The sequence below is a fragment of the Homo sapiens genome, chromosome 1 (genome assembly GCF_000001405.40).
Source record: "Homo sapiens chromosome 1, GRCh38.p14 Primary Assembly".
In the NCBI taxonomy this organism is placed as follows: domain Eukaryota; kingdom Metazoa; phylum Chordata; class Mammalia; order Primates; family Hominidae; genus Homo; species Homo sapiens.
In genome coordinates, this window is record NC_000001.11 from 226,424,106 (window position 1) to 226,448,963 (window position 24,858).

Genomic DNA, 24,858 nt, shown 5'->3' on the forward strand with positions numbered 1-24,858 from the left:
AAAAAATTTTAAAAAGTTAGGTAGTCATGGTGGCATGGGCCTGTAGTCCCAGAGGTTGAGGTGGGAGGATGGCTTGAGCTCAGGGCTGCAATGAATTGTGATTGTGCCACTGCACTCCAGCCTGGGTGACAGAGTGAGACTCCGTCTCTTTAAAAAAAGACAAAAGAGAGAGAGAGAGCGAAATAGCAGTGCTTGGTAGACTGAAATTTGAAATCTGCTAGGCAGGGCTGTTGTCCTTTTAGGAAAAGGGATGGGAAACCAGCTGAGAATCTGAAGCTACAGGGAGAGCAAGGAACCAGCATCTGGGGTGAGGACAAAAGGATCTTAACGGCCAAAGTTACCTCTATTTGGCACCACCCTACTCCTCCTTTCCCTCTGGCCTATTGGCAGAGTGGAGCTTCTGAAGCAGGCTGCAAGTTGCCTTTGACTCTGATCTTGTTATGGGGTCAAGAACAATCTTTGCTTTTAAAATCTGGCTACTTATTAAATCTTTGAAGTTCGAAAGATTGACTAGGGCTTGGGGAGTTCATTCCATAGCCTGGAAATAAATTGCCCTATTGTCCACTAGATGGTGTTCAAAATACACACACTCACCCAGCACAGGCAACTCTGGAAACACACAAATCAACCTAATGAGGTGTGATGTTGATGAAAGAAACCCGCAAGATCTACTCCAGCCTGGGTTGGTTGTCTTGTTTAATTTGCCGGCAGCACACTTGGAGAAGAGATTTGGAAACTGGCAGGAGAGGAGGAAGATGCGCCTTTTAGACAATCCCTCTGGTTGCATTGTGAGGAAAGCTGCAAGGCTGCAGGCAGAGAAAATTGGGAGCTGTTGGAGCCATCCTGGTGAGAGGTGATGGCGGCCTGGACCAGGACAGTGGCAGTGGGAGGAGAGAAGAGGATAGTCCTAGGAGGCAGAAAAGGCAGGGGTTTGAGGGCAGACTGGATATAGCACTCTTTGAATTTGCTAGTTTCAATTTTTTTTTTTTATTTTTTGTTGTTTGTTTTTTCCTCTGCACGTTGTAAGCTCTGAAAGAGCAGAGATGTGGGCTTATCAGTGTATTTCCGGTGCTGCACAGAGTAGATACTCAATAGACTTTTTGGATAACAATGAATAACAGAGCTAACATTTTTTGCATGATAATGTGAGCCCTTCTAAGCACTGTACATGTATTAATTTCATTTATTACCCCTCAAATACACACCTGGGCCCTGGCCCAGATCCAAATCTCTGGGACAGAAACCTAGGCCAGTGTATTTTGAAAATCCTCCACAGGAAATCCTTTTCTTTTTAAATTTTTAATTATTATTTTTAGACATGGGGGTCTCACTATGTTGCCCATTCTGCAGTACGGTGATTACTCACAGGTGCGGTTCCACTACTGATCAGAACGGGAGTTTTGAACTGCTCCGTTTTTGACCTGAGTCAGTTCACCCCTCCTTAAGCAACCTGGTGGCCCCTTGCTCCCAGTGTGTCCGGAATTGGTGGGTTCTCGGTCTCACTGACTTCAACAATGAAGCCGCGGACCCTCGCGGTGAGTGTTACATTACAGCTCTTAAGGTGGCGCGTCTGGAGTTTGTTCCTTCTGATGGCCGGATGTGTTAGGAGTTTCTTCTTTCTGGTGGGTTCGTGGTTTCGCTGGCTCAGAAGTAAAGCTGCAGACCTTGGCGGTGAGTGTTACAGCTCATAAAAAAAGCGTGGACCCAAAGAGTGAGCAGTAGCAAGATTTATTGCAAAGAGCGAAAGAACAAAGCTTCCACACTGCAGAAGAATATCCCAGGAGGGTTGCCGCTGCTGGCTCCGGCAGCCTACTTTTATTCTCTTATCTGGCCCCACCCACGTTCGCTGACTGGTAGAGCCCAGTGGTCTGTTTTGACAGGGCGCTGATTGGTGCGTTTACAATCCCTGAGCTAGACACAAAGGTTGTCGAAGGCCCCACCAGAGTAGCTAGATACAGAGTGTCCATTGGTGCACTCACAAACCCTGAGCTAGACACAGTGTGCTGATTGGTGTGTTTACAAACCTTGAGCTAGAGACAGAGTGCCGATTGGTGTATTTACAATCCCTGAGCTAGACATAAAGGTTCTCCACGTCCCCACCAGACTCAGGAGCCCAGCTGGCTTCACCCAGTGGATCACGCACCAGGGCTGCAGGTGGAGCTCCCTGCCAGTCCCGCGCCATTTGGCCGCGCTTCTCAGCCTTTGGGTGGTCGATGGGACTGGGCACCATGGAGCAGGGGTGGCGCTCGTCAGGGAGGCTCGGGCCGCACAGGAGCCCATGGAGGGGGTGGGAGGCTCAGGCATGGCGGGCTGCAGGTCCCGAGCCCTGCCCCTCGGGAAGGCAGCTAAGGCCCGGGAGAAATCGAGCACAGCGCCGGTGGGCTGGCACTGCTGGGGGACCCAGTACACCCTCCGCAGCCGCTGGCCCGGGTGCTAAGTCCCTCATTGCCCGGGGCTGGCAGGGCCAGCTGGCTGCTCCGAGTGCGGGGCCGCCAAGCCCACGCCCACCGGAACTCCAGCTGGCCCGCAAGCCCCGCGCGCAGCCCTGGTTCCCGCTCACTCCTCTCCCTCCACACCTCCCTGCAAGCTGAGGGAGCCGGCTCTGGCCTTGGCCAGCCCAGAAAGGGGCTCCCACAGTGCAGCGGTGGGCTGAAGGGCTCCTCAAGTGCCACCAAAGTGGGAGCCCAGGCAGAGGAGGCGCCGAGAGCGAGCGAGGGCTGTGAGGACTGCCAGCACGCTGTCACCTCTCACCAGGAGGTCACCATATTGATGCCAGACTTAGTGTGGACACCCCACTGGCATAGCGCACTACAGCCCAGAACTCCTGGGCTCAATCCACCCTCTGGGCTCAAGCAGTCCTCTTGCCACAGCCTCCCAAGTAGCTGGGACTACAGGTACACGCTTCTGTGCCTGGCTCCACAGGCAGCCCCGAAATCCTTCAGACTGCTGCCCGTGTTCTCTTGTCTCCTTTCTCCCTTTCTTCACGGAACACTGCAAGCCCCACACAAGTCTCCTCATTCCTATCCCTCCTGGGAATTGTGCCCATCATGGAGTCAGCCCTGGTCCCTCATGCACAGAAGCCCTGCCCACTAGGTGGCCTCCAGGGAGGCAGTCCTTGGCACCCTGGCTCCTGACTCTCCTTGCAGGGTGGGTACCTGGCCTCTGACCTTACCCCTACACTTAGTCCTCAGGCCCACTGTTGCACATCCTGGCCTTCCTTGTACCTTCTTGCAGTTCACTTTCTTCAGCATCCACAGCGGCCCCAACTTCAGTCCCTTTGGGCCTCATTTCAGCTACCATATGCTCTCCTACCAGTGCTTGGAGCACACAAAGTCCAGACAGCAGAGCGGTGCGGGGACCTGGGCCCACAGGGGCCCACATATAGAGCCATTGGCAAGGCCTTAGCTCTTGCTGTTCCCTCTCCAACAAAAGTGCAAACCGTAATTGCATTTAGTTCAGTTCAACAGTCATTCATCAAGTACCTACAGTGCACCAGGCATAGTAGTAGGCCCATCACCTATTACCAAAGTGAATAAGATACCTGGTTTGCACCCAAGCACCTCACCTCTGCAGGTGCGGCCACATAGGCATCTAACTGTTACAAGGCACCTGCTAGAGAAAAGGTGCAGCATGTACAGGGAGAAGGAAGATATTGATTAATCTGGGGAGCTCCATGGTCCTTTAAAACTCAGCTCAGGCTGGACGCAGTGGCTCACGCCTGTAATCCCAGCACATTGGGAGGCTGAGGCGGGTGGATCACCTGAGGTCAGGTGTTTGAGACCAGCCTGGCTAACATAGTGAAACCCCGTCTCTACTAAAAATACAAAAATTAGCCAGGCGTGATGGAACACACCTGTAATCCCAGTTACTCGGGAGGCTGAGCAGGAGAATTGCTCGAGCCCGGGAGACGGAGGTTGCAGTGAGCCGGGATCGTGCCACTGCTCTCTAGCCTGGCCGACAGAGCGAGACTCTGTCTTAAAAAAAAAAAAAAGAAAACTCAGCTCAAATGTCATCTCCTCCCAGAAAACCTTAAAGCCCCATAGGCAGAGCCCAGGGTTGATGAAGAACCCCAACATTGGGCTCCCAGGCCCTGATAGCATTTACTGCACTGTAAGGAGTGCATGGTTCCCGGGGGTCACCTGTCTGTGAGCAGCTTCAGGTAGGCCCCAGATGTCTCCATCTTTCCCTTCCCAGAAACCAGGGCATGGTGCATAGTTGGTACTCTGTCTTTGCTTGTGGAGTGAAAAGGAGGTGCCATTTAAGAGGAGTCTTTGTGAACAGGGAGGATTTAGAAGGTGAAGACAGTGGTAGCGGTGCAGGGAGCAGGGTGAGATTAAGAAGGACAGAGGCAAAGGCATGAGGCCCGGGCTGTTTTGGTGTCCCCTCCCTGCCTTACTCTCTGGGGCATCTGAGCAGGAGGGACCCCCACTCTGCCTCCAGAATGCTGAGTTTTCAGGGACACCCTTCTCACTTAGAGCCAGGTACACATGCCCACGGTTTACACCACTGTGCCCTGGCTCTCTGCTGCTGGACGTTTGCATGGCCTCGAAGGGCAGGTGTGTGGTCAACCTAACATTGCTTTGCCTAAGTGTGTTCCCATCCTTTCTCTCCCTCCCCAGCAGCTGTAGCTGAGCCTGTTGGTCTCATCCCTGTGTGAACTTTAGAATCACCAGGGGAGCTTTTTGAAAATACAGATGCTTTATTTAATTGGTCTGGGGTGGGGCTCAGGCATCATTAATTTTTAAAGCTCCCCAGGTGACTCCAATGTGCAGCCAGTGTGGAGAAGCACTAGGCTAGCGCCCGCCTGGGGCAGAACTCTTCCTACCCGCACCTCTCCTCCAGCACTCTTTGATCTCTCCAAGCCTCCTTTCCAGTAGTTTCATCTCAAGCAGTGTCTCCCTGGGCTCCTTCGTGTCCGCACATCCCAGAGCCCTCTCAGCACTGAATTATACACATCCTAGCAGACAACTGCTGTGTGAATTACTGAGGGCAGAGCTGTAAAGACATCTCCTGGCAAATAAATTAAAGCGTTCAATCATTCAGCCAAGAGCCAAGGCAGAGAGACGCTGAGCCCCTAGAGAGAAGGGAGCTGGGGAGAGAGCGTGGGGGAAGGGGAGAGGGAGTGAGAGGCTGTCTCACTGAGAGAAGCCACAGGGGTCGGGGGAGGGAGGAGTGCAGGAAGTGTGCTGGGGGCACATGTCACAGCGAGCCAAAAGGGTCCTCCCTCCCTTGAGTCACCTCTTTGGTAGGCTGGGATGAATGACACATGTCTGGGACAGGGAGGGAGGCCCAGGCAGGCAGCCGCCGGTGTGCCCACTGCTTGGGGGATGGACTAACTGGGCACAGTCACTTCTCCAGGTGGGCAATGTGCTGTTAGCCTATTAACAGTGGGGTGTCTGGACTGAGTATGGTGGCTCTCAGCACTTTGGGAGGCTGAGGCAGGGGGATTGCTTGAGACCTGGAGTTCGAGACCAGCCCGGGCAACATATGAGACCCCGTCTCCACAAATAATACAAAAATTGGCCAGGTGTGGTGGTGCTCACCAGTAGTCCCAGCTACATGGGAGGCTGAGGCAGGAGGATCACTTGAGTCCAGGAGTTCTAGACCAGCCTGGGCCATAGAGAGAGACCCCATCTCAAAAAAAAGTGGATGTCTGGAATGCTGCCCTCCTTGCCAGGCAGCCTGTCTATTCTCTGCAGCCATTCGGGGTCTGAGCCAGAAGTTTCTTTCCTGAGGAACAAGGATCCTGCCTCTCCAGGCCTAGGACACAGGCCAATAGGACTTCTAGGGGCAGGGGCTCCTGGGAGCTCACAACCCACTCTCGTTTAATGCACTGCTAAGTGACACCCCCAACAGCAGCACTGGCTTTGAGCAGAGGACTGGGACATGATCAGATGGGATTGGCTCCTCAGCCTGACACCCATGCACCAGGCACTGGGGGCTCAGTGCTGATGTCTTGACCTTGAGGAATCACGGCCTCATGATAGAGGCCTGGGGATCCCCGCGGGGCACAGGGAGATCAGAAGTGGTGGTGGCACATTTGCACTCACTGCAACACATCATTACAGCATGCCTGTCTTTCTCTGTCAGCAAGTATCTGGGGCCTTTGTCCAGGAACTCTCATCAGGGAGTCAGCTACTGGCCATAGATCTGTTCCACAAGGCTGTCCTGTCTGCAGACTCTGCCGGGCAGTGTGGTGAGAGAGCTGGCGAGGCATGGTGACCTTGGGATGGGTGCCCCGGAGCAGTGCTGGCTCTGTTCCTTGACCATAGATGGTGCCTTGGCTGGCAGTTCATCATCTATGCCCTTGGTGGTCGTGGTGGGGTGCTGAGCCAAGCCTTTTCCACTCACCAGACAATCAGATGCCCAAACACACCGTTGCAGGCCAGGAGCTTCATTGTAACACCCTAAGGGCAGCTTGGTTCTGGTTCTGGAAGGCCCTCAGCAGGCAGTGGTAACCCCAGCACGAACAGGAATTGCATCCTAGTGGGGGAGAGTTCTGTGAAGTCACTGATAGACCAGCTGCTCGGTTAGGTGGCCGGTGGGTGGCACTCTTAAAGTTTCATGGTTACAAAAATTAGACGATCATGGTGGTGGACGCCTGTAATCCCAGCTACTTGGGAGGCTGGGGCAGGGGGAATTGCTTGAACCCGGGAGGCGGAGGTTGCAGTGAGCTGAGATTGCGCCACTGCACTCCAGCCTGGGCAACAGAGTGACACTCCGTCTCAAAAAAGAAAACAAATGTTTCATGGAGTATTTGCGAGCTAAACAATGGGTACATGTGGACACAGAGAATGGAATAATAAACACTGGAGACTCCAAAAGATGGGAGTATAAGCAGTGGGTAAGGGCTGAAAAATTACCTATTGGGTACAATGTTCACCATAGTGACGGGTTCACTAAAAGCCTAGACTTTACCACTATGCCATATATGCAAGTAAGAAACCTGCACTTTTACCCCCCAAAATGTATATATTAACATTCTACAATTCACTTTAAACATGTGTAACTTTTATTTGCCAATTCTACCTCAACAAAACTTTTTATTTTTTATTTTTTGAGACAGTGTCCGGCTCTGGCTCTGTCACCGTCACCCAGGCTGGAGTGCAGTGGCACAATCACAGCTCACAGCAGCCTCGATCTCCCAGGCTTCAGCAATCCTCCCACCTCAGCCTTCCAAGTCGCTGGGACTACAGCCATGTGCCACTAGGCCTGGCTGATTTTTTTTTTTTTTTTTTTTAAGTAGAAATGAGGTCTTGCTGGCTGGTCTTGAACTCCTCAGCTCAAGTGATCCTCCCACCTCGGCCTTGAAAAGTGCTGGGATTATAGGAATGAGTCACTGCGCCCGGCCAAAAAAATATTTTTTTTTTAAAAAAACAAGCAAACAAAGAATTTCATGGCATATATGCCTAAGTTTGGAATGGCTAATTGTTAAATTAAGTCAATACTTTGCTTGGACCATGTTTAAGAGTTTAAATATACATATATATCTACAAAGAACACAAACAAATTTACAAGAAAAAAAAATCCCATCAAAAAGTGGGCAAAGGATATGAACAGACACTTCTCAAAAGAAGACATTTATGCAGCCAACAGACACATGAAAAAATGCTCATCATCACTGGCCATCAGAGAAATGCAAATCAAAACCACAATGAGATACCATCTCACACCAGTTAGAATGGCGATCATTAAAAAGTCAGGAAATGACAGATGCTGGAGAGGATGTGGAGACATAGGAACGCTTTTACACTGTTGGTGGGACTGTAAACTAGTTCAACCATTGTGGAAGACAGTGTGGCAATTCCTCAAGGATCTAGAACTAGAAATACCATTTGACCCAGTGATCCCATTACTGGGTATATACCCAAAAGATTATAAATCATGCTGCTATAAACACACATCACACGTATGTTTATTGCGGCACTATTCAGAATAGCAAAGACTTGGAACCAACCCAAATGTCCATCAATGATAGACTGTATTAAGAAAATGTGGCATATACACACTGTGGAATACTATGCAGCCATAAAAAAGGATGAGTTCATGTCCTTTGTAGGGACATGGATGAATCTGGAAACCATCATTCTCAGCAAACTGTCACAAGGACAAAAAACCAAACACCACATGTTCTCACTCATAGGTGGGAATTGAACAATGAGAACACTTGGACACAGGAGGGGGAACATCACACACCGGGGCCTGTTGTGGGGTGGTGGGGGGGATAGCATTGGGAGATATACCTAATGTAAATGATGAGTTAGTGGGTGCAGCACACCAACATGGCACATGTATACATGTGTAACAAACCTGCATGTTGTGCACATGTACCCTAGAACTTAAAGTATCATTAAAAAATAAAATAAAATACAATAAAAACAGACTATTAAGCAACATTAAAATATATATATATATATGAAAATAAAACATTTAAATCCAACTATAAATGGGAAGTAAGTGGGCTGTCCATATCTCCTGGTTAAGAATGTCATGCTGCTCTGCACAAGCTGGAATTGCACAGGGATCATGGTGGGGGCCTAGAGGGTATGTTTGGTGTTGCTCCCGGTTTGGGCAAATGGACACACAGCCCTGCTTGAGGATCCAAGTCCCACAGGCTGCCGGCAGAGCCTGTTTATCCCTCACAAAGAGGTTGTCATCAATTTCCAATTAGCTGGAAGCTTGGCGGGCAGCTTCAGGCTCCAGACTCCATCATACTAATGAAGGCGGGGCCCCTGCTGGAGACAGCGCTGAACGAGGATGGAAGTCAAATTAGGTTATTCCTATGGAGGGATATCCAGTCTTTGTTTTGGGGCTGCTGGCTTACCTCTGCAGGGAGGGGAATTTCTCTGGACTCGTAGGGTGAACTCGACCCAACATCTTCCTCTGGGCTGGGGTGCTGGGAGTGAGAGGTGAGTGAGCCTCAAGGCTCTGTGTCTTCCTTCCAGAGGGGGCAGGCAGAGCTGAGGACAGAGCTGTGGCATTGTCTGTTGCCTTGGACTTGTAGCAAGGAGAAACACTGGGGTCCCGGAGCCTGGGGGAAACCCCTAGAGGGGGCTGCATCATCTGTCCACGGGCAGATGAGGTGAGGGGAACTGGGAATGGCTTCTCCTTCGGAGTGACGGGGGTAGCCCAGACTCCATCATGGGGAGCTGACTAAACCTCAGGCCCTAGGTGCACTGACAGGACGGGGCCTGTTTGCAGTGGCAGGAAAGGAGAGGCCAGAGACCTTCATTCTCTAGTCGGCAGTCTGAAGGGTGGCAGCAGGCTTCAGAGCTGTTGCTGGGGAGTCTGTAGGAGCAGCTGCGCTCCCTTCTTCACAGGCAGTGCCCTGGGAATACCAGGTTTCCTTATTGATTTGCCCTAGTCTGTCAGATGCAAACAGGCTTTCATAGAATCCAAGGAAACATCTGCTGAGAAGAATTACAGTGGGCAGTAAAGCATTTCTCTGGGGAGCTTGTGTGCTCGTTCTTTCCTCCCCCTTCTCCTCCGGCTTCTGGGAGGGGTTTGAGATATGGAGAAAGACCATTCTGAGCTCCCTCATGGTGGACCGAGGGTCAGGACCAGCCCTTTGCCTTCTTGCCATGGATTCTCAGGAAGGCGGAAACAACCAGGTGCCTTGATGGGCTGCGACCTAGCAGAGGGGCAGGCACGCGGCTCATCCTGACCCCATGCTCAGCGTCAGGGTCTCCACCTCGGGACCCCCATCAGCCTCCTGTGTGCTGAGCATGTCCAGCACTACACAAGGGGATTATGGGAGGAAGGGGGAAATGCAGGACAGAACTGAAATAATACTTCTTCAGTGAAGACTTGGGGCTAAAGAGCCAAGGCCCGGGACCTGCATGCACAGCATGTGAGATGGGCAGAGGGGCCATGTCCCGTTGGCTCCAGCATGGAGGCTCCTGAGTGGAGCCATGTGTGTCCACAGGCATGGGGTCAGTGGCCTCCACATACGTGATCTCCTGCGCCCTTCACAGAACCCCTGCTGGCCAAGCTGGTCAGGCATCACCTCCACGAAGCAGAAGGGTTGCTGCCAATGAAGTCATGGCAGAATGGGGACAGGAAAGGAGAGTCCATCATGAAACCCCATGCTTCCTACACATGTTGCCTGATTCCAGTGGTTCTCAATCTTATTCTTATTTATTATTTTTTAAAGAGACGGGGGTCTCTGGGAGTTCCAGGTTATAGTGTGCTATGATCACACCACTGCACTCCAGCCTGGGTGACAGGGTGAGATCCTGTCTCTAAATAAATAAATTCATTAATTAAAAAAAAAAAAGAAAAAAAGAGACAGGGTCTCACATCTCATTCTGTTGCCCAGCTGGAGTGCAGTGGCATGATCATGGCTCATTACAGCCTTGACCTCCTGGGCTCAAGCAATCTTCCCATCTCAGCTTCCTGAAGACCTGGGATTACAAGTGTGAGCCACCATGCTTGGCTTGTTCTCAATCTTTAGAGCCTAGAAGGATCATGAGATGTAAAAATGAAATTCCTAGGCCTCACTCCCATAGATTCTGATTAAGAAGGTCTGGGGTAGGGTTCAGGGATCTGCCTTTTAACGGAAGGGGGCAGATGAAACCATAATTGGAGAAGCATTGTCTCAGTCCAGTAAAACTAACAGATATCCACAAAGATCTGCAGTTGCTTTAAATTCACCAAGAGGCTTAAATTAATTAACAAGCATTTTCTGAGAGCCTATAATTATGTCCCCAAGTTATTAGGGCCTGCTTCATGGGTGAGCGCATTGCACAAGGCCCCACACTTGAGGTTTAGTGCTCTGTGGTGGCTGTCCTTGAAATTCTCCATGATTTACTCTTTGCGTCTGTGCTTTTTGAGACAGTCTCACTCTACTGCCCAGGCTGGAGTGCAGTGGCGAGATCACGACTAGCAGCCTTGACTTCCTGGGTCCAAGCAATCCTCCTACCTTCCCTCCCGAGTAACTGGGACTATAGGCCTGCTTGGCTAATTTTTACATTTTTTTGTTGAGATATGGTCCCGCCGTGTTGCTCAGGCTGGTCTCAAACTTTTGGACTCACATGATCCTCCTGCTTCAGCCTCCCGCTTCAGCCTCCCAAAGTGCTGGGATTATAGGCGTGAGCCACGATGCCTGACTGGATCTGTGCTTTTGTAAGTGAAGTCTAATGGGACAGTGGAGCATATGAGGGGTCTTGGTGCCTGGGCCTCACAACCGTTGCCTCTGGCCTGTGGGTTCTTAGCCTCACTGTTCTCAGCCCATCCCAAGATCGCAGCCACCAGCCTTCCCAGCAGGAGTCTGGGCCCAGGCAGGAAGAGCCAGTGTCTGGCATGGGTACCCCATGGTGTCTTAGAGCGGGCCATGGTGGCAGCTGGCCAGCCTACCACCCCTGGCCCCAGGTACTGATGTGTTCTGGTGTGCAGATCTACACATCCTAGGGGTCTCCTCTCTGCCAGGTTGGAGCAATGGGTCAGTGGGAGAGGCATATGCCTGCCTGGACTTCCCCAGACCTGGCTTCCTGACCTCTAGGAGGTTACAACTGACGTAAATGGAGAGGAAGGAAGCTGGCATTGATTGAACGCACACTCCTCTCTAAGACTCATTTGCTTTTCGCTGATATATCCTAGTGCCTAGGACATTGGCATGTGGGCAGTGCTCAAAAACACTCAGGGAAGGAATGAATACATGGAGAAACTCTTTGAGGTCGATTTATATTTCTTCCATTTTACAGATTAGAAATTAAGGGTTAAGGAGGCTAAACAACCTGCTGGAGGTCTAAAATCAGTAAATGACAGAAATAAGATTTAAATGCAGGTCAGAATTCCAAAGCCTTTGCCCTTTCTGTGTCACAAGTCTAAAGACATGGCTTAAGCACACTGGCTGCTGGGCCAGGATTTGACCAATGATGCCAGTACTGACCCACCAACTGTCCAATCGCCACCAAGTCAGAGCTTCTCCTGGGAGTGGTTTCCTGGTTGTCCCTGGATGTCCAAGGAGGAGAGGGATTCTGAGCCCAGTAAGAGATTTGTGATTCGGATTTTCACTGGTTCTGCTCTTCGTGGACCATGTCTCAGTCCAAGGAAAAGAGAGGACTAAAGAGATATATTCATGAAAATCCTCTAATTCAACTGACTCAATTAGGACTTTCCAATTGCTCAAATTGAAAATCTCAACCCAAAATGAGCTAAAACTATTTAATCTTATTTCATGTAACGGAAAAGTCCAAGCCTGGGTAACAGAACTTGACCCCATCTCTACTAAAAAAAAAAACCAAAAAAAAATTATCTGGGCACGGCAGCATGCGCCTGTAGTCCCAGCTACTCAGGAGGCTGAGGCAGGAGGATCACTTGAGCCCAGGAGGTTGATGTTGCAGTGAGCCATGATTGTGCCACCTCACTCCAGCCTGGGTGACAGAACAAGACCCTGTCTCAAAAAAAAAAAAAAAAAAGAAAAAAGAAAAGAGGAAATTCCAGAGCTAATCAGACTCCAGGTGAGTTGATTCCAGGGCTCACCAAGGACCCAGGCTCTTGCCATCTCTTAATGTTTCATCCTCAGTGTTGGCAGCTGCAGATGTGACATCTAGAGGAAGTTATTGGGACTGGGCTAGACTATTCATCTGGGGCGGAATGGATGTTGAGGATCAACTACAACGTCACCACATCATCAGTGCACAAGCAGCCCTGCTTTAGGACCTCACTGGAAAACATCCCAGGAAGAAACTGTCCATCCTACATTGCCACAGACCACTGCCCAGCCCAGGCAGCCCGAGGGGTCTAGCATATCAGTCACACCAGTGGTGGCAGTACTGGTTGTACCAGCAGAGCTAACTGGGTGCTGGTGGTGCTTGATCCCAGAGGAAGCTGCAGTGTACCTTCACAAGGCTCGGTAGTCAGCCAAGGTCCCAACAGCAGCCATCACCAAAGGAGGCTGCACCTGGACAGCAGCAGTAGGAGGAAGAGTGGTAGCTGGCACATGACACCCAGGACTTATTTGTTAACACATCTGAGACGCCCCTGGGGAACTGCAGAAATAATTGAAGTTCCTGCAGGTGGCTGGCATCCAAGCATAACAGATGGGGCAAGGTGAGCTAGCGAAGCTTGGCTTTTCTTGCTAAAGGAACTCTGTCAGCCCCGGACACTGGTTATGTGTACAATGCCTGAGAGAGCTGGGTGAGAGAGCCTCCAGCGTAAGGCTCCCGTCAGCTCTGCCCCCTCCCTGGGTGGGAGTTATCACAGCTTGGACACAATTCCAGGGGAAACCCGGGCCAAACTCTTCTCTTTGAGTGTGCCAATGGTCACGTAATGTTAATGCTGGTTGTTCCTGGGTGGTGTGATTAGATTACTTTCTTTCTTTTCCTTTTCCTTCCCTTTTTTCCTCATTGATTTTTCCCTTTCCTCCCTTCCCCTTCTTTTCTTGCTTTCTTTCTTTTTTTTTTTTTTTTGGTAATTTTCTGTACTACTAAATTAAAAAATGTTTTATTAACCTTTTCTGAATAGATGCTACATCTCATGGTTCAAAACTAAAAAAATACATTTAGAAAGTAATCAATGAATCAGAAGCCACATGTAGGGCTTGTAAATGAAACCAACAAGCAAACAAACAGTGAAGAATCTTCTTTATATCTCTATCTGCCCAGTTTCCCTTCAGCCCTCCTCTTTTCCATTATATTCTTTGGTTTATCCTATAATAACATGTGTATGCTTGCAGAGTTTCTTTATGCATATACAAACAGGTGAAAATATATTTTTATTTTCTCCCCCTTTTTTGCACATATATACTGCTGTATACCTTACCTTTTTCACCTAACAACATACCTTGGAGATCTTTATCAGTACATAAAAAATCCTCACTTTCTTGTATAGCTGCCCTTTGTGATAGGGCATGATAATACCACAATTTTTAAAAATCGTCTGCTATTGATGGGCCTTCAGTTTGTTTTCAAACTTTTGCTAATCCAAATGATGTTGCATCAAAAAAACTTGTGCATACATTATTTTGCATATATGTAAGTATTCCTGTGGGATAAACTCCCAAAAGTGTAACTGCTAAGTCAAAGGGAGTACGTGGTTGTGATATTGACTGATTTGGCAAATTGCCCTCTGTAAGTGTTGCATTAATTTATACCACCACCAGGAGTATCTAAGAGTGTCTTTTCCCCACAGCTTTGCCAACAGAGAGTGTTATCAAATTTTTGGAATTTTGTCAGTCTGATAGGTGAAGGTTATCTCGGTGTGGTTTTAAAATCATCCTTATTGGGCTATGATTTTAATACAACAGAATGGACTCATTTTAGTCATACAGTTCAAAGAGTTTTGAATCAATCAAGGTATAGAACGTTTCCATCACCCCAAAAGATTGACTTGTGCCCCTGCCCAATCAACACCCTTCCCATCCTGTCGGGAGAAACCACTACTGTGATTTTTATCACTATAAGTCAGTTTTGCTTTTGGCTCTCTCAGCTCTTTTGGCTCTCTGAGCAGCACCATGGCAGTTGGCAAGAATAAGCACCTTAAGAAAGGTGGCAAACAGGGGGCCAGGAAGAAAGTGGTTGATCCATTTTCTAAGAAAGATTGGTATGATGTGAAAGCACCTGCTATGTTCACAAGAAATATTGGAGAGATGCTAGTCACCAGGACTGAAGGAACCCAAATGTATCAGATGGCCTCAAGGGTTGTGTGTTTGAAGTGAGTCTTGCTGATTTGCAGAATGATGATGTTGTATTTAGAAAATTCAAGCTGATTACTGAAGATGTTCAGGGCAAAAACTGCCTGACTAACTTCCATGGCATGGATCTGACCTGTGACAAAATGTGCTCCATGGTCAAAAAATGGCAGACAATGATTGAAGCTCCTGTCAATGTCAAGACTACCAACGGTTACGTGCTTCGTCTGTTCTGTGTTGGTTTTGCTAAGAAACACAACAATCCGATATGGAAGACCTCTTATGCTCAGCATCAACAAGTCCGCCAAATCCGGAAGAAGATTTTGGAAATCATGACCTGAGAGGCGCAGACAAATGACCTGAAAGAAGTGGTCAATAAATTGATTGCAGACAGCATTGGAAAAGACATAAAAAGGCTTGCCAATCTGTTTGTCCTCTCCATGATGTCTTCATTAGCAAAGTAAAAATGCTGAAGAAGCCCAAGTCTGAACTGGGAAAACTCATGGAGCTTCATGGTGAAGGTAGCAGTTCTGGAAAAGCCACTGGGGACGAGACAGGTGCTAAAGTTGAACGAGCTGATGGATATGAACCACGGTCCTTGAATCTGTTTGAAGTTAGGACTTACAATAGTGGCAAATAAAAAAGTCTTATTTGTGAAAGAAAATTAGTTTTGCCTGTTTCAGAATTCACAGAAATGGAATCAAATAATGTGTACTCTTTTCTGACCAGCTTCTTTTGCTCAGCATGTTTTTGAGATTCACCCATGATGTTGCATTCCTTTTTATTGCAGAGTAGTATTCCATTGAATATTCAAATATACCACACCTTTTGGGTTTGTTTTTCATTCATATGTTGATGTTCATTTTTTCCTATAAACTTTATAATCAGTTTGTCTGGTTAAAAAAATGGTGTTTGTAATAGACTGCATCCCCTTTATCAAGTAAATTATGGAGAACTGAAGTTTTTATTATGTTGAGTCTTCCTCTCCAAAAACATGGTATATTTATTCCCTTTGTTCCAGCCTTCCTTTATGTTCCTCAGTGTGTTTTAAAGCTTTACCCAATTCTGGTTATAGTCATTCCTAATTGTTAGCAGGTGGCAGGTTTGGCTTTTTTCCCCAATTTTCCTTGCTTAAATTTAGAAAAAAAATTGAATATGTATACTTTTATTTTTTATTTTATTGTATTGTATTTTTTGAGATGGAGTCTTGCTCTTTCTCTCAGGCTGGAGTGCAGTGACGTGATCTCAGCTCACTGCAACTTCCATCTCCTGGGTTCAGGTGACTCTCCTGCCTCAGCCTCCCAAGTAGCTGGGGCTGCAGGAGCACACCACCATGCCCAGATAATTTTTGTATTTTTACAAAAATACAAATTTGATGGATATATAATTTCCAGCTTGGGACTATTATGGATAAAGCAGTTATGAACAATAATGTACAAATATTTTTGTGTTTATATGCTTTCATGTGTCTTCAGTAATTTCCAAGAAGTGAAATTTCTGAGTAATATGATACAATGTATGTTTAACTTGGTAAGAAACTAGCCATCTGCTTTCCAAAGTGGTTGTACCATTTTATCCTCCCATCAGCAAAGTACAAAAGTTCAATAGTCACATATCCTTATCAATACTTGATATTGTTATTATTTTATATTTTGGTCATTGTAGAAGATATGTGGTGGTATCTAATCATAGATTTAATGTGCATTTCCATGATGATTAATGATGTTGAACATATTTTCAAGTACTTATTGGCTATTCCTAATCTTTGGTTTGTTTGTTTGTTTGTTTTCTTTATGAGACAAGGTCTCTCTTCCAGGCTGGAGTGCAGAGACTGGTGCAATCATAGCTCACTGCAGCCTGGAACTTCTGGGCTCAAATGATCTTCCCACCTCGGCCTCCCAAGTAGCTAGAACTACAGGTGACTGCCACCATGCCTGACTAGTTTTTTAATTTTTTGTAGAGACAGGGTCTTGCTACATTGCCCAGGCTGGTCTCGGACTCTTGGCCTCAAGTGATTCTCCCATCTTAACCTCCCGAAGTGCTGGGGTTACAGACGTGAGCCACTGCACCCAGCTCTCTTCTTAATCTTTTGCGGAGTGTCTTGTCAAATCTCTTCCCCATTTTGTATTGAGTTATTTGTCTTTTTAATACTGGGTTATTGGAGTTCCTTATATAACTCTCAGTGAAGTTTTAATTTGCCTTCTTTTGTGATGTATGACATTGAGCATCTTTTCACATGCCTAAGAGCCGTTTGTATTTTCCTTCCTGTGAACTGTCTATTCATATCCTTTGCCTCTATTTCTATTGAGTTGTTAGTCTTTGTCTTACTGATTTCTAGAAAGTCTTTATACATTAGAAAGGTTAACCCTTTGTCTGAGATAGGAATTGCAATTATTTTCCCCAGTTGCTTGTTCACTTTTGACTTAGCTTATTGATGCTCTTTGCCATGCAGAGGTTTTAATTTTTATGTATTTGAACTTATCAATCTTCTGTGGCTCCTGAATTTCTGAGTCATGGGTCTTCCTTATTCCAGGATTCAAAGAGATTCTATCATGCTTTATTCTATCATGTCTTCTCTCATGTCTTAGCCCAGATTACCTAGAAAACAGATCTTTTTTTTTTGTTTTTTTGTTTGTTTTTTTTTTGAAATGGAGTCTTGTTCTGTGGCCTAGGCTGGAGGGCAGTGGTGTGATCTCAGCTCACTGCAACCTCCGCCTCCCGGGTTCAAGCGATTCTCCTGCCTCAGCCTCCTGAGTAGCTGGGATTACAGGTGCATGACACCACGCCAGGCTAGTTTTTTGTATTTTTGGTAGAGATGGGGTTTCACATGTTGGCCAGGCTGGTCTCTAACTCCTGAGCTCAGGTGATCCACCCACCTCGACCTCCCAAAGTGCTGAGATTGCATGTGTGAGCCACCACGCCCAGCCGGAGAACAGATCTTAAAGCAAAGCAATAGAGAGATGAAATTACAGTGAAGCAAGAGAGAGTAAAAGGGGATGGAGAAGGCGAGGCAGGAAGGCACATGCAAGGTGGCTGGCCAGGCTTCACAAGAAACAGCAGGATGCTTCCAAACAGTTCTTTGGCCACAGGGGGAGGAAAGGAGGGGCGTTATCCATTGTTTCCTTCTATCTCTTTTCTACCATTGGTCCGAGCTTGTCCTGAGGCTGCTACTGCTCTGCCCTTCAGGTATGGGCGTGTTTCCCAGTTCCATTTACTGACAAGTTCCTCTTCTCCATTGATTTGAAAGGTCTCTTTTGTTATACACAACATTTCTATTTTTTAATTTTCTATTTAAAATTTTCTTTTCTATTCCATTGGTCTTTCTCTTCAAGCTGTTTTATTTATTTATTTATTTATTGAAATGGAGTCTTGCTCTGTTGCCCAGGCTGGAGTGCAGTGGCATGATCTCGGCACACTGCAACCTCCACCTCCTGGATTCAAGCAATTCTCCTGCCTCAGCCTCCTGAGTAGCTGGGACTACAGGTTTCTGCCACCACACCCGGCTAATTTTTGTATTTTGGGTAGAGATGGGGTTTCACTGTGTTGGCCAGGCTGGTCTTGAACTCCTGACCTCAAGTGATCCACCTGTCTTGGCCTCCCAAAGTGCTGGGATTACAGGCGTGAGCCACTGTGCCAGACCCCAAGCTGTTTTAATTATTGAAATTTTGGAATATGTTTTAGTATCTGGTAGGCCTCGTTCCTCATCTTCTTTATCAGTATTTTCTTAGGTATTCTTATTCATTTTTTCATAAACTTTATAAACAGTTTGTCTGGTTAAAAAAATGGTGTTTTTAACAGACTGCATCACCTTTATAAATTAAATTATGGAGAACTGAAGCTTTTAGTATGTTGAGTCTTCCTCTCCAAAAACATGGTATATTTATTCCCTTTGTTCCAGCCTGCCTTTGCGTTCCTCAGTCGTTTCAAGGCGTTTTAAGGCTTTACCTGATTCTTGTTATAGTCATTCCTCGTGTTAGCAGGTGGTAGGATTGACTTTTTCCCCCAATTTTCTTTGCTTGAATTTAGAAAAATAATTGAATCTGTATACTTTTAAATTAAAACAATAAATAATTAATTTTTAAATGGTAAAATAAAGGGGAGAAAGGATAGTTTTTTTAAAAAAATAAGAACATACTATGTACCTCATAAATAAGTACAATTATTGTATGTCAATTAAAAAATAAGATAAAATAAATTTAGAAATAAATAAAAATTATAAAACGAGAACAAACACCAAAACCAAAGTTTTGTGTGTTTTTTTTTGTTTGTGTGTTTGTTTGTTTTAGAGATGGGGTCCTACTAAGTTGCCCAGGCTGGTCTCATACTTCTGGGCTTAGGTGATCCATCCTGTCTCAGCCTCCCAAAGTGCTGAGATTACAGGCATGAGCTAGCATGCCTGGCCCCAAACCAACATTGTACTTTCTCCGGTCTGGCGAGGCTGAGTTCTGGTAGCCTGAAAATGCTGACGCAGCCATTGACTGGGTTTGACCCAGGAGCTCTGAGGGGCCCTGAGAGCTCACAATCTGGCAGGGGAGGGTGGAACGGATGAGAGGTTGTTGCTTTTGCTCGGCTAATGTGGGAGTCCACATTAGTCCGAGGCTATTCCCAGGGCCACAGAATCTACTTTACCCACTGCCCTCATCTTTGGTAAAATGCCTCTCCCAACTGAAGAATAAACACACTTACTTTCTCACTTACTCTTTATTTTTAATTTTTTTTTTTTTTTTTTTTTGTAGAGAAGGGTGTCTCATTATGCTGCCCAGGATGGTCTCAAACTCCTGACCTCGACTTCCCAAAGTGTTGGGATTACAGGCATGAGTCACTGCACTCAGTCACTCTCTCACTCTAAGAACCTCCTTGCTCAACTAAATTTCTTTCTTTTGATGCCAGGAAGTCATAGGCTGGGAGCTGGCATCAGACTTGCTCTGGAATCTATTTTTATTACCTATGTATCACTATGTGAGTCAATGACTTTGCCTGCTGAGCATCAATCACAAAGAAACCGCTTTTCCCAGTCAGAGTTCTGGGTGGCGATCTGGGGGACAAAGGCAAGGAGAGGAAAACTTGGGAGGTTTTCTAGGTGTTAGTTCTGCCCTGGGGTCACACAGCAAGTTGCCTTCCTTTCCATGTGTTCTCTGTCTGTGTCTTCTCTTCTCCAGCCTTTCTGCTTCTTTAGCAGAAGACATCTGGCCGAATGTCACGGAAAGTGTTTCATTCAATGCATTTAAGAAATGAGATCAAAGTTTCTTTCTATAATTGGCTTACACACACTGTTGAGTCAGCTTTGCTTTTCCCTGTCTTTCCCCGTTTTATTTTTTTAATTTTTTTTGAGATAGGGTCTTCCTCTGTCACCCAGGCTGGAGCGCAGTGGCTCAATCACAGCTCATTACAGACTCGACCTCCTGGGCTCAAGAGATCCTCCCGCCTTGGCCTCCCAAATGTGCTGGGATTACAGTTGTGAGCCACTGTCCAGGCCTCCTCTGTTTTATTTATGCAAGTATTTCAAAGGTATTTCAGGGAATATTCGCACCTTATGACTTTGTTCTTCAGAGAAAGTTAAAGAGTCTTATCTGGGAAAGATGAGGCAGGAATCCAGGAGGGAGGGAGAGATGAGGTTCTGGGTGCCTCTGGAGCTGGCTTTGGCCAGTTTTTTAGAAGAATGTAATTCTTGCCCCCTCTCTTCAACCCAATGCCTGTCCCCGTCTCACCAGCACATTTACTGGAGGGACAATCTAATCCCAATGGCCAAGCCATTCTGTGCAAAACTCTTAAGCTCTTCCCAGCACCAGTCTTATTTTATTACCTTTTTCTTTTCTTTTTTTTTTAAACTCACACCAAAAGCCACATTCAAAGCACCAGTCTTATTAGCTCACCTTTTCTCTCTTTCTCCTTTCTCTTGTGGTTGGAGAGGCTTTATGGATGGGAAGGACTGAAGTGAGTTAGCTAACTAGAGATTTATTTGGTTTTGAGGGACCTTGTTCCACCTATTTTGGTTCAGAGTCTAGTCAAATAACTTTATTAAAGAAGATAAGCTTGTTGTGTTCCGTCTTAGGATACCAAACCAACATGCCTGTCTCTTCAAATGTTCCTCAAATGAGGTAGTGCTTCAGTTAGGTTGCCCGTGGCTGCAAGCAATGAAAAATACAGCTCTGCTCACTTAAACGATAAAGACAGCTATTGTCCTGTGAGGCAGTCAAGGTGCTTGGCCCCCTAAATCACTGACATGAGGCAGATTGACTAATAGGAGAGAAGACATATGAATTTGTTTAACATGTATACACAGGAAGCTTCAGAATGAAGACCCAATCCCCTAGTGGGGTGCAGAAGCTTATGCACCACCTTGAGGTTGCAGAGAGAATGTGGGCTCAGAGCATGGCCCCAGACAGGTTTCAGTGGCAACACAGGTTGTGGGAGGAAGAAAGGAAGTGGCTTGGCTAGCAAAGGCAGTCCTGTTGTGTAGATGAAACCTCACGGGGAGCAACCCTCAGAAAGAGCAGATGGCGGATGCTTCTTTTCAGACCTGCAGGTGTCAGAATCTCAGTTAATCTTTCCAGACAAGGGAAGGGCTGGCTGCATTAATGCAGAGTCTCTACAGATCTACAGGTGCAAATTTCTCCCGCAAAAGACAACCTTACAGGCCACTTCAGAATATGTCAAAGAAATCTGTTTTGGGGTAAAGTATTAATATTTTGATTTCCTTCACCTGCATACTCAAGTCCTGAGGGGAGGTGGACGACAGGATGGACACCACACAGGCCTCTGGATCTCTTTCTCTGTCAGCCTCTCCCCCAGCCTCCTCTGGGCACACACTTCATCTTCAGGGCTGGTGCAAGATGGCAGCCCCAGTTCAGCCTCAGTGAGAAGGAGAATGTTCACAGGAAAAAAGTGCAAGTAGAAAATAAAATCCTAAGGCCCTCAACCAAATGAACAGACCCCATTTTGGCCAAGGGGATCCCAGATAAACCTTAAAAACAGTGCCCAGCTGTGACAGGACAGGAGGTCAGACAAGCCTCATTACACCCCCTCCCTTTTGCGGTTTAGACGCAACAACTGACCAGCATTAATGATAAAATAGAGATTACAAGACAGACAGAAGAGGCTCTTTTTGGCAATAAGATACCAAATTATACATAGGACCTAAGGCCATGCCAGGTAAGGGTTAAGCGTGCACAGTTTATTAAAGAATAAACTATGTTCTCAGATGTGAGGGTGATCTGGCTGCGACACCTGTCACCCCATGGATCATCAGGGTTGATTCGGCTGATCCGGCTGGCTAGGTGGGTATCCCCTTCCTCCCTCTCTCTCCAAGTACGTCCCTCCCAAAGCTGCGCACTCAAAGAGGATGACCATCCCCGATGGAGGAGGACCCAGCTTTGGTCAAGGATGTATGAGTAGCCATGCTCCCCTGCTAGAACCTCCAAACAAGCTCTCAAGAATAAGCTATGTTCTGTCATAAGGTTTTTCTTTTTTTCTAGCAGCTGAACAAGCAATGGCCTCAAGATAAGCAAGATGAAAATAATCATAGCTCCCCGCCAGATGCTGACTGACCCTCTTCCTCCAGCCACAACTACAGCTTTGACTGGACAAGAAACTGATGGCTGTGACTTTCTCTTGATAAGAGACCACTGACCATGAGCTGGTTCTAGCTGGTTTACAGAGCTTGTGCACTTGAGTGCCCCCATATCTCTGCTTCACCTTTTGATATATAGGGCCCAACTGTAATACATTTACGTGTTAAGTCTCTGCCTCTAAATGAACATGGGTCATATGTAACATGCATTTTTATTCAGTATGCAGGTGTTCATGAACCACCTTCATGAATATTCATAGCTCCTCCTATCATCTGTTGAATATATATACTTGGCCAACCCATTCAACATAAATCCCTATTTCACCCTCCCCTCTTGAAGTGCCTACTTTCAGGGTCTGCTGGAGGCTACAGTTCCCAGCCTGTGGGATGGCCAGTCTACAGGTTGTGACCCCTATTATAAGAAATAAAGGCTCCTTTTCTAAATGTATAAATCTCAGGATTTTTTTCAGTTGATAAAATTGAGGCTAACTTCCTAAGAGCCATGCACCTCATTGGCTTGTATGAGCATGATAGCTGAACTAAACTGGAGTTCTGTCAGGAGTGGGGAATGCAAAATGGGTGTTGGGTAGGCGACCAGCAATGTCCACCAGAGATGGGCTCCAGATCCTTCTCATTCTTGGTTGCCCTTGCGAAAATAAGTAGTTCAAAATCTAAGCTGTTGGAACTCTAAATTATTTTGAGCCTTAAAGAAATCTGGCTGGACACGGTGGCTGTGATTCCAGCACTTTGGGAGGCCGAGGCAGGGAGATCACTTGATGACAGGAGTTCGAGACTAGCCCAGCCAACATAGCGAAGCCCCATCTCTACTAAAAATTCAAAAAATTAGCTAAGCGTGGTGGCACACGGCTGTAATCCCAGCTACTCGGGAGGCTGAGGCACGAATTGCTTGAACCCAGGAGGCGGAGGTTGCAGTGAGCAAGATTGACCCACCACACTCCAGTATGGGCGACAGAGGGAAACTCGGTCTCAGAAAAAAAAAGGAATGTAATTATGGAGCCTGAGTCATGTGACAAGCAGCTGTAACCTTTGTTTCTCTGTTTATAGATGAGCCGGCTTCCTTAGCTGCATTATTTTGTAAAATGTACTGAATGACTAAAAAGCACCAGGGAAGATCTCCTTTCCTCTTCACTATTGATCTTCATTATAGATTCACTTCCATATTACCTTGCTTTTCTTTTCTTTTTTTTTTTTTTGAGACAAAGTCTCGATCTGCCATCTAGGCTGGAGTGCAGTGGTGCAATCTTGGCTCACTGCAACCTCCGTGTCCCAGGTTCAAGCAATTCTCCTGCCTCAACCTCCCCAGTAGCTGGGATTACAGGCGCCTGCCGCCATGCCTGGCTGATTTTTTGTATTTTGGGTAGAGATGGGGTTTCACCATGTTGGCCAGGCTGGTCTCAAACTCCTGACCTCAAGTGATCTGCCTACCTCGGCCTCCCAAAGTGCTGGGATTACAGGTATGAGCCACCTGTTAGACATACCCTTTTAAATTGGAAAAGAAATGAAAACAAGATGTAGGGAAAAGAAAACACACTGAAACTAATTAATTTGTTGTAATTCATAAACCAACCTTGAATAGAAAATGTAATCCTGTTAAATTTCTTTGTTTTCTGCCTATACAAGCAACCATGTAACTTTTAAATTTGGAACAGTGACCCTATTTCTCTGGCGTCTGTGTCTCCTGAAGAGCCATTTCCAGTTTTTCCCTTGAATAAACCCTTTAAAATTGGAGTCTAAGGCCAGGTGGGGTGCCTCATGCCTGTATTCCCAACATTTTCGAAGGCTGAGTTGGGAGGATGATTTGAGGCCAGGAGTTCATGACCAGCCAGGGCAACACAGTGAGATCCTGTCCCTAAAAAAATTTGAAAATCAGCCAGATGCGGTGATGCACGCCTGTAATCCTAGCTATTTGGGAGGCCAAGCCCAGGAGGTCAAGGCTGCAGGCAGCTATGATTTCACCACTGCACTCCAGCATGGGTGACAGAATGAAAAAAAAAAGAAAAAAAAAGATTCTGATCCTTTTGATTATTTCAGGTTGACACCCTCTTCTGCATCTTTTGTTAAAATCAGCCTTGAATGATGGCCACAACTTGAATACACAGAGAAGGAGGTAGAGAAGGGACCTATTGTGTGAATATGCAAGAATTTCTTAAGAAGTCTGTAGCCCTGTTGGAGAGGGTGCTCTGACCTGCATAAATGACTATCTGACCACTAGACAAGCATGATTCATCTCATTTTTCCAGCTTGATAAAAATAAGCAACATGACTATCCAAGTTCATTCATCTTGTTTCATATTTACCCAATGGTCTTCTTAATTAAATTTCTACAATAGATTTTCTTACTGTGAAGACAATATTCAGACTGGCCAAAGTAAATTCTCTAACCCTCTTGTCAATTAGATAGTAAATGTCATATTTCTCATTCTAAATTAATAACTAGTCCTTTTTGCTCCTTAAGCAATTTCTTTGGAATTTTGGTTTAATCAGTTTGTGGCCTGATCGCCCCTGGTGAATTGAGGACATGTTAATCTCCTGAACTAAAGAACTAGAGGAGGAAGTAACATGCCTTAGCATATCTAAAGAAGTATAAATGCATGCTATTATCATGATTGTGACTGTTGGCATTAGGTTCTTGGTG

General features: G+C 46.5%; 2 pseudogenes, besides 3 other annotated features; both read left to right on the forward strand.

Annotated features, from left to right (window-relative positions):
• Positions 539–588: a silencer, noted in NCBI's record as "silent region_1885". NCBI's record gives its function as "represses an Ori minimal core promoter by ATAC-STARR-seq in GM12878 lymphoblastoid cells {active_cell/tissue: GM12878}" and the evidence as "EXISTENCE:reporter gene assay evidence [ECO:0000049][PMID:35858748]".
• Positions 4,785–5,666: an enhancer, noted in NCBI's record as "H3K4me1 hESC enhancer chr1:226616591-226617472 (GRCh37/hg19 assembly coordinates)". NCBI's record gives its function as "activates a minimal SCP1, AML or CMV promoter by ChIP-STARR-seq in naive H9 embryonic stem cells {active_cell/tissue: H9 hESC(naive)}" and the evidence as "EXISTENCE:reporter gene assay evidence [ECO:0000049][PMID:30033119]".
• Positions 8,560–9,412: an enhancer, noted in NCBI's record as "H3K4me1 hESC enhancer chr1:226620366-226621218 (GRCh37/hg19 assembly coordinates)". NCBI's record gives its function as "activates a minimal SCP1, AML or CMV promoter by ChIP-STARR-seq in naive H9 embryonic stem cells {active_cell/tissue: H9 hESC(naive)}" and the evidence as "EXISTENCE:reporter gene assay evidence [ECO:0000049][PMID:30033119]".
• On the forward strand, positions 14,433–15,289 carry RPS3AP7 (RPS3A pseudogene 7; annotated as a pseudogene).
• RN7SKP165 (RN7SK pseudogene 165) lies at positions 21,833–22,066 on the forward strand (annotated as a pseudogene).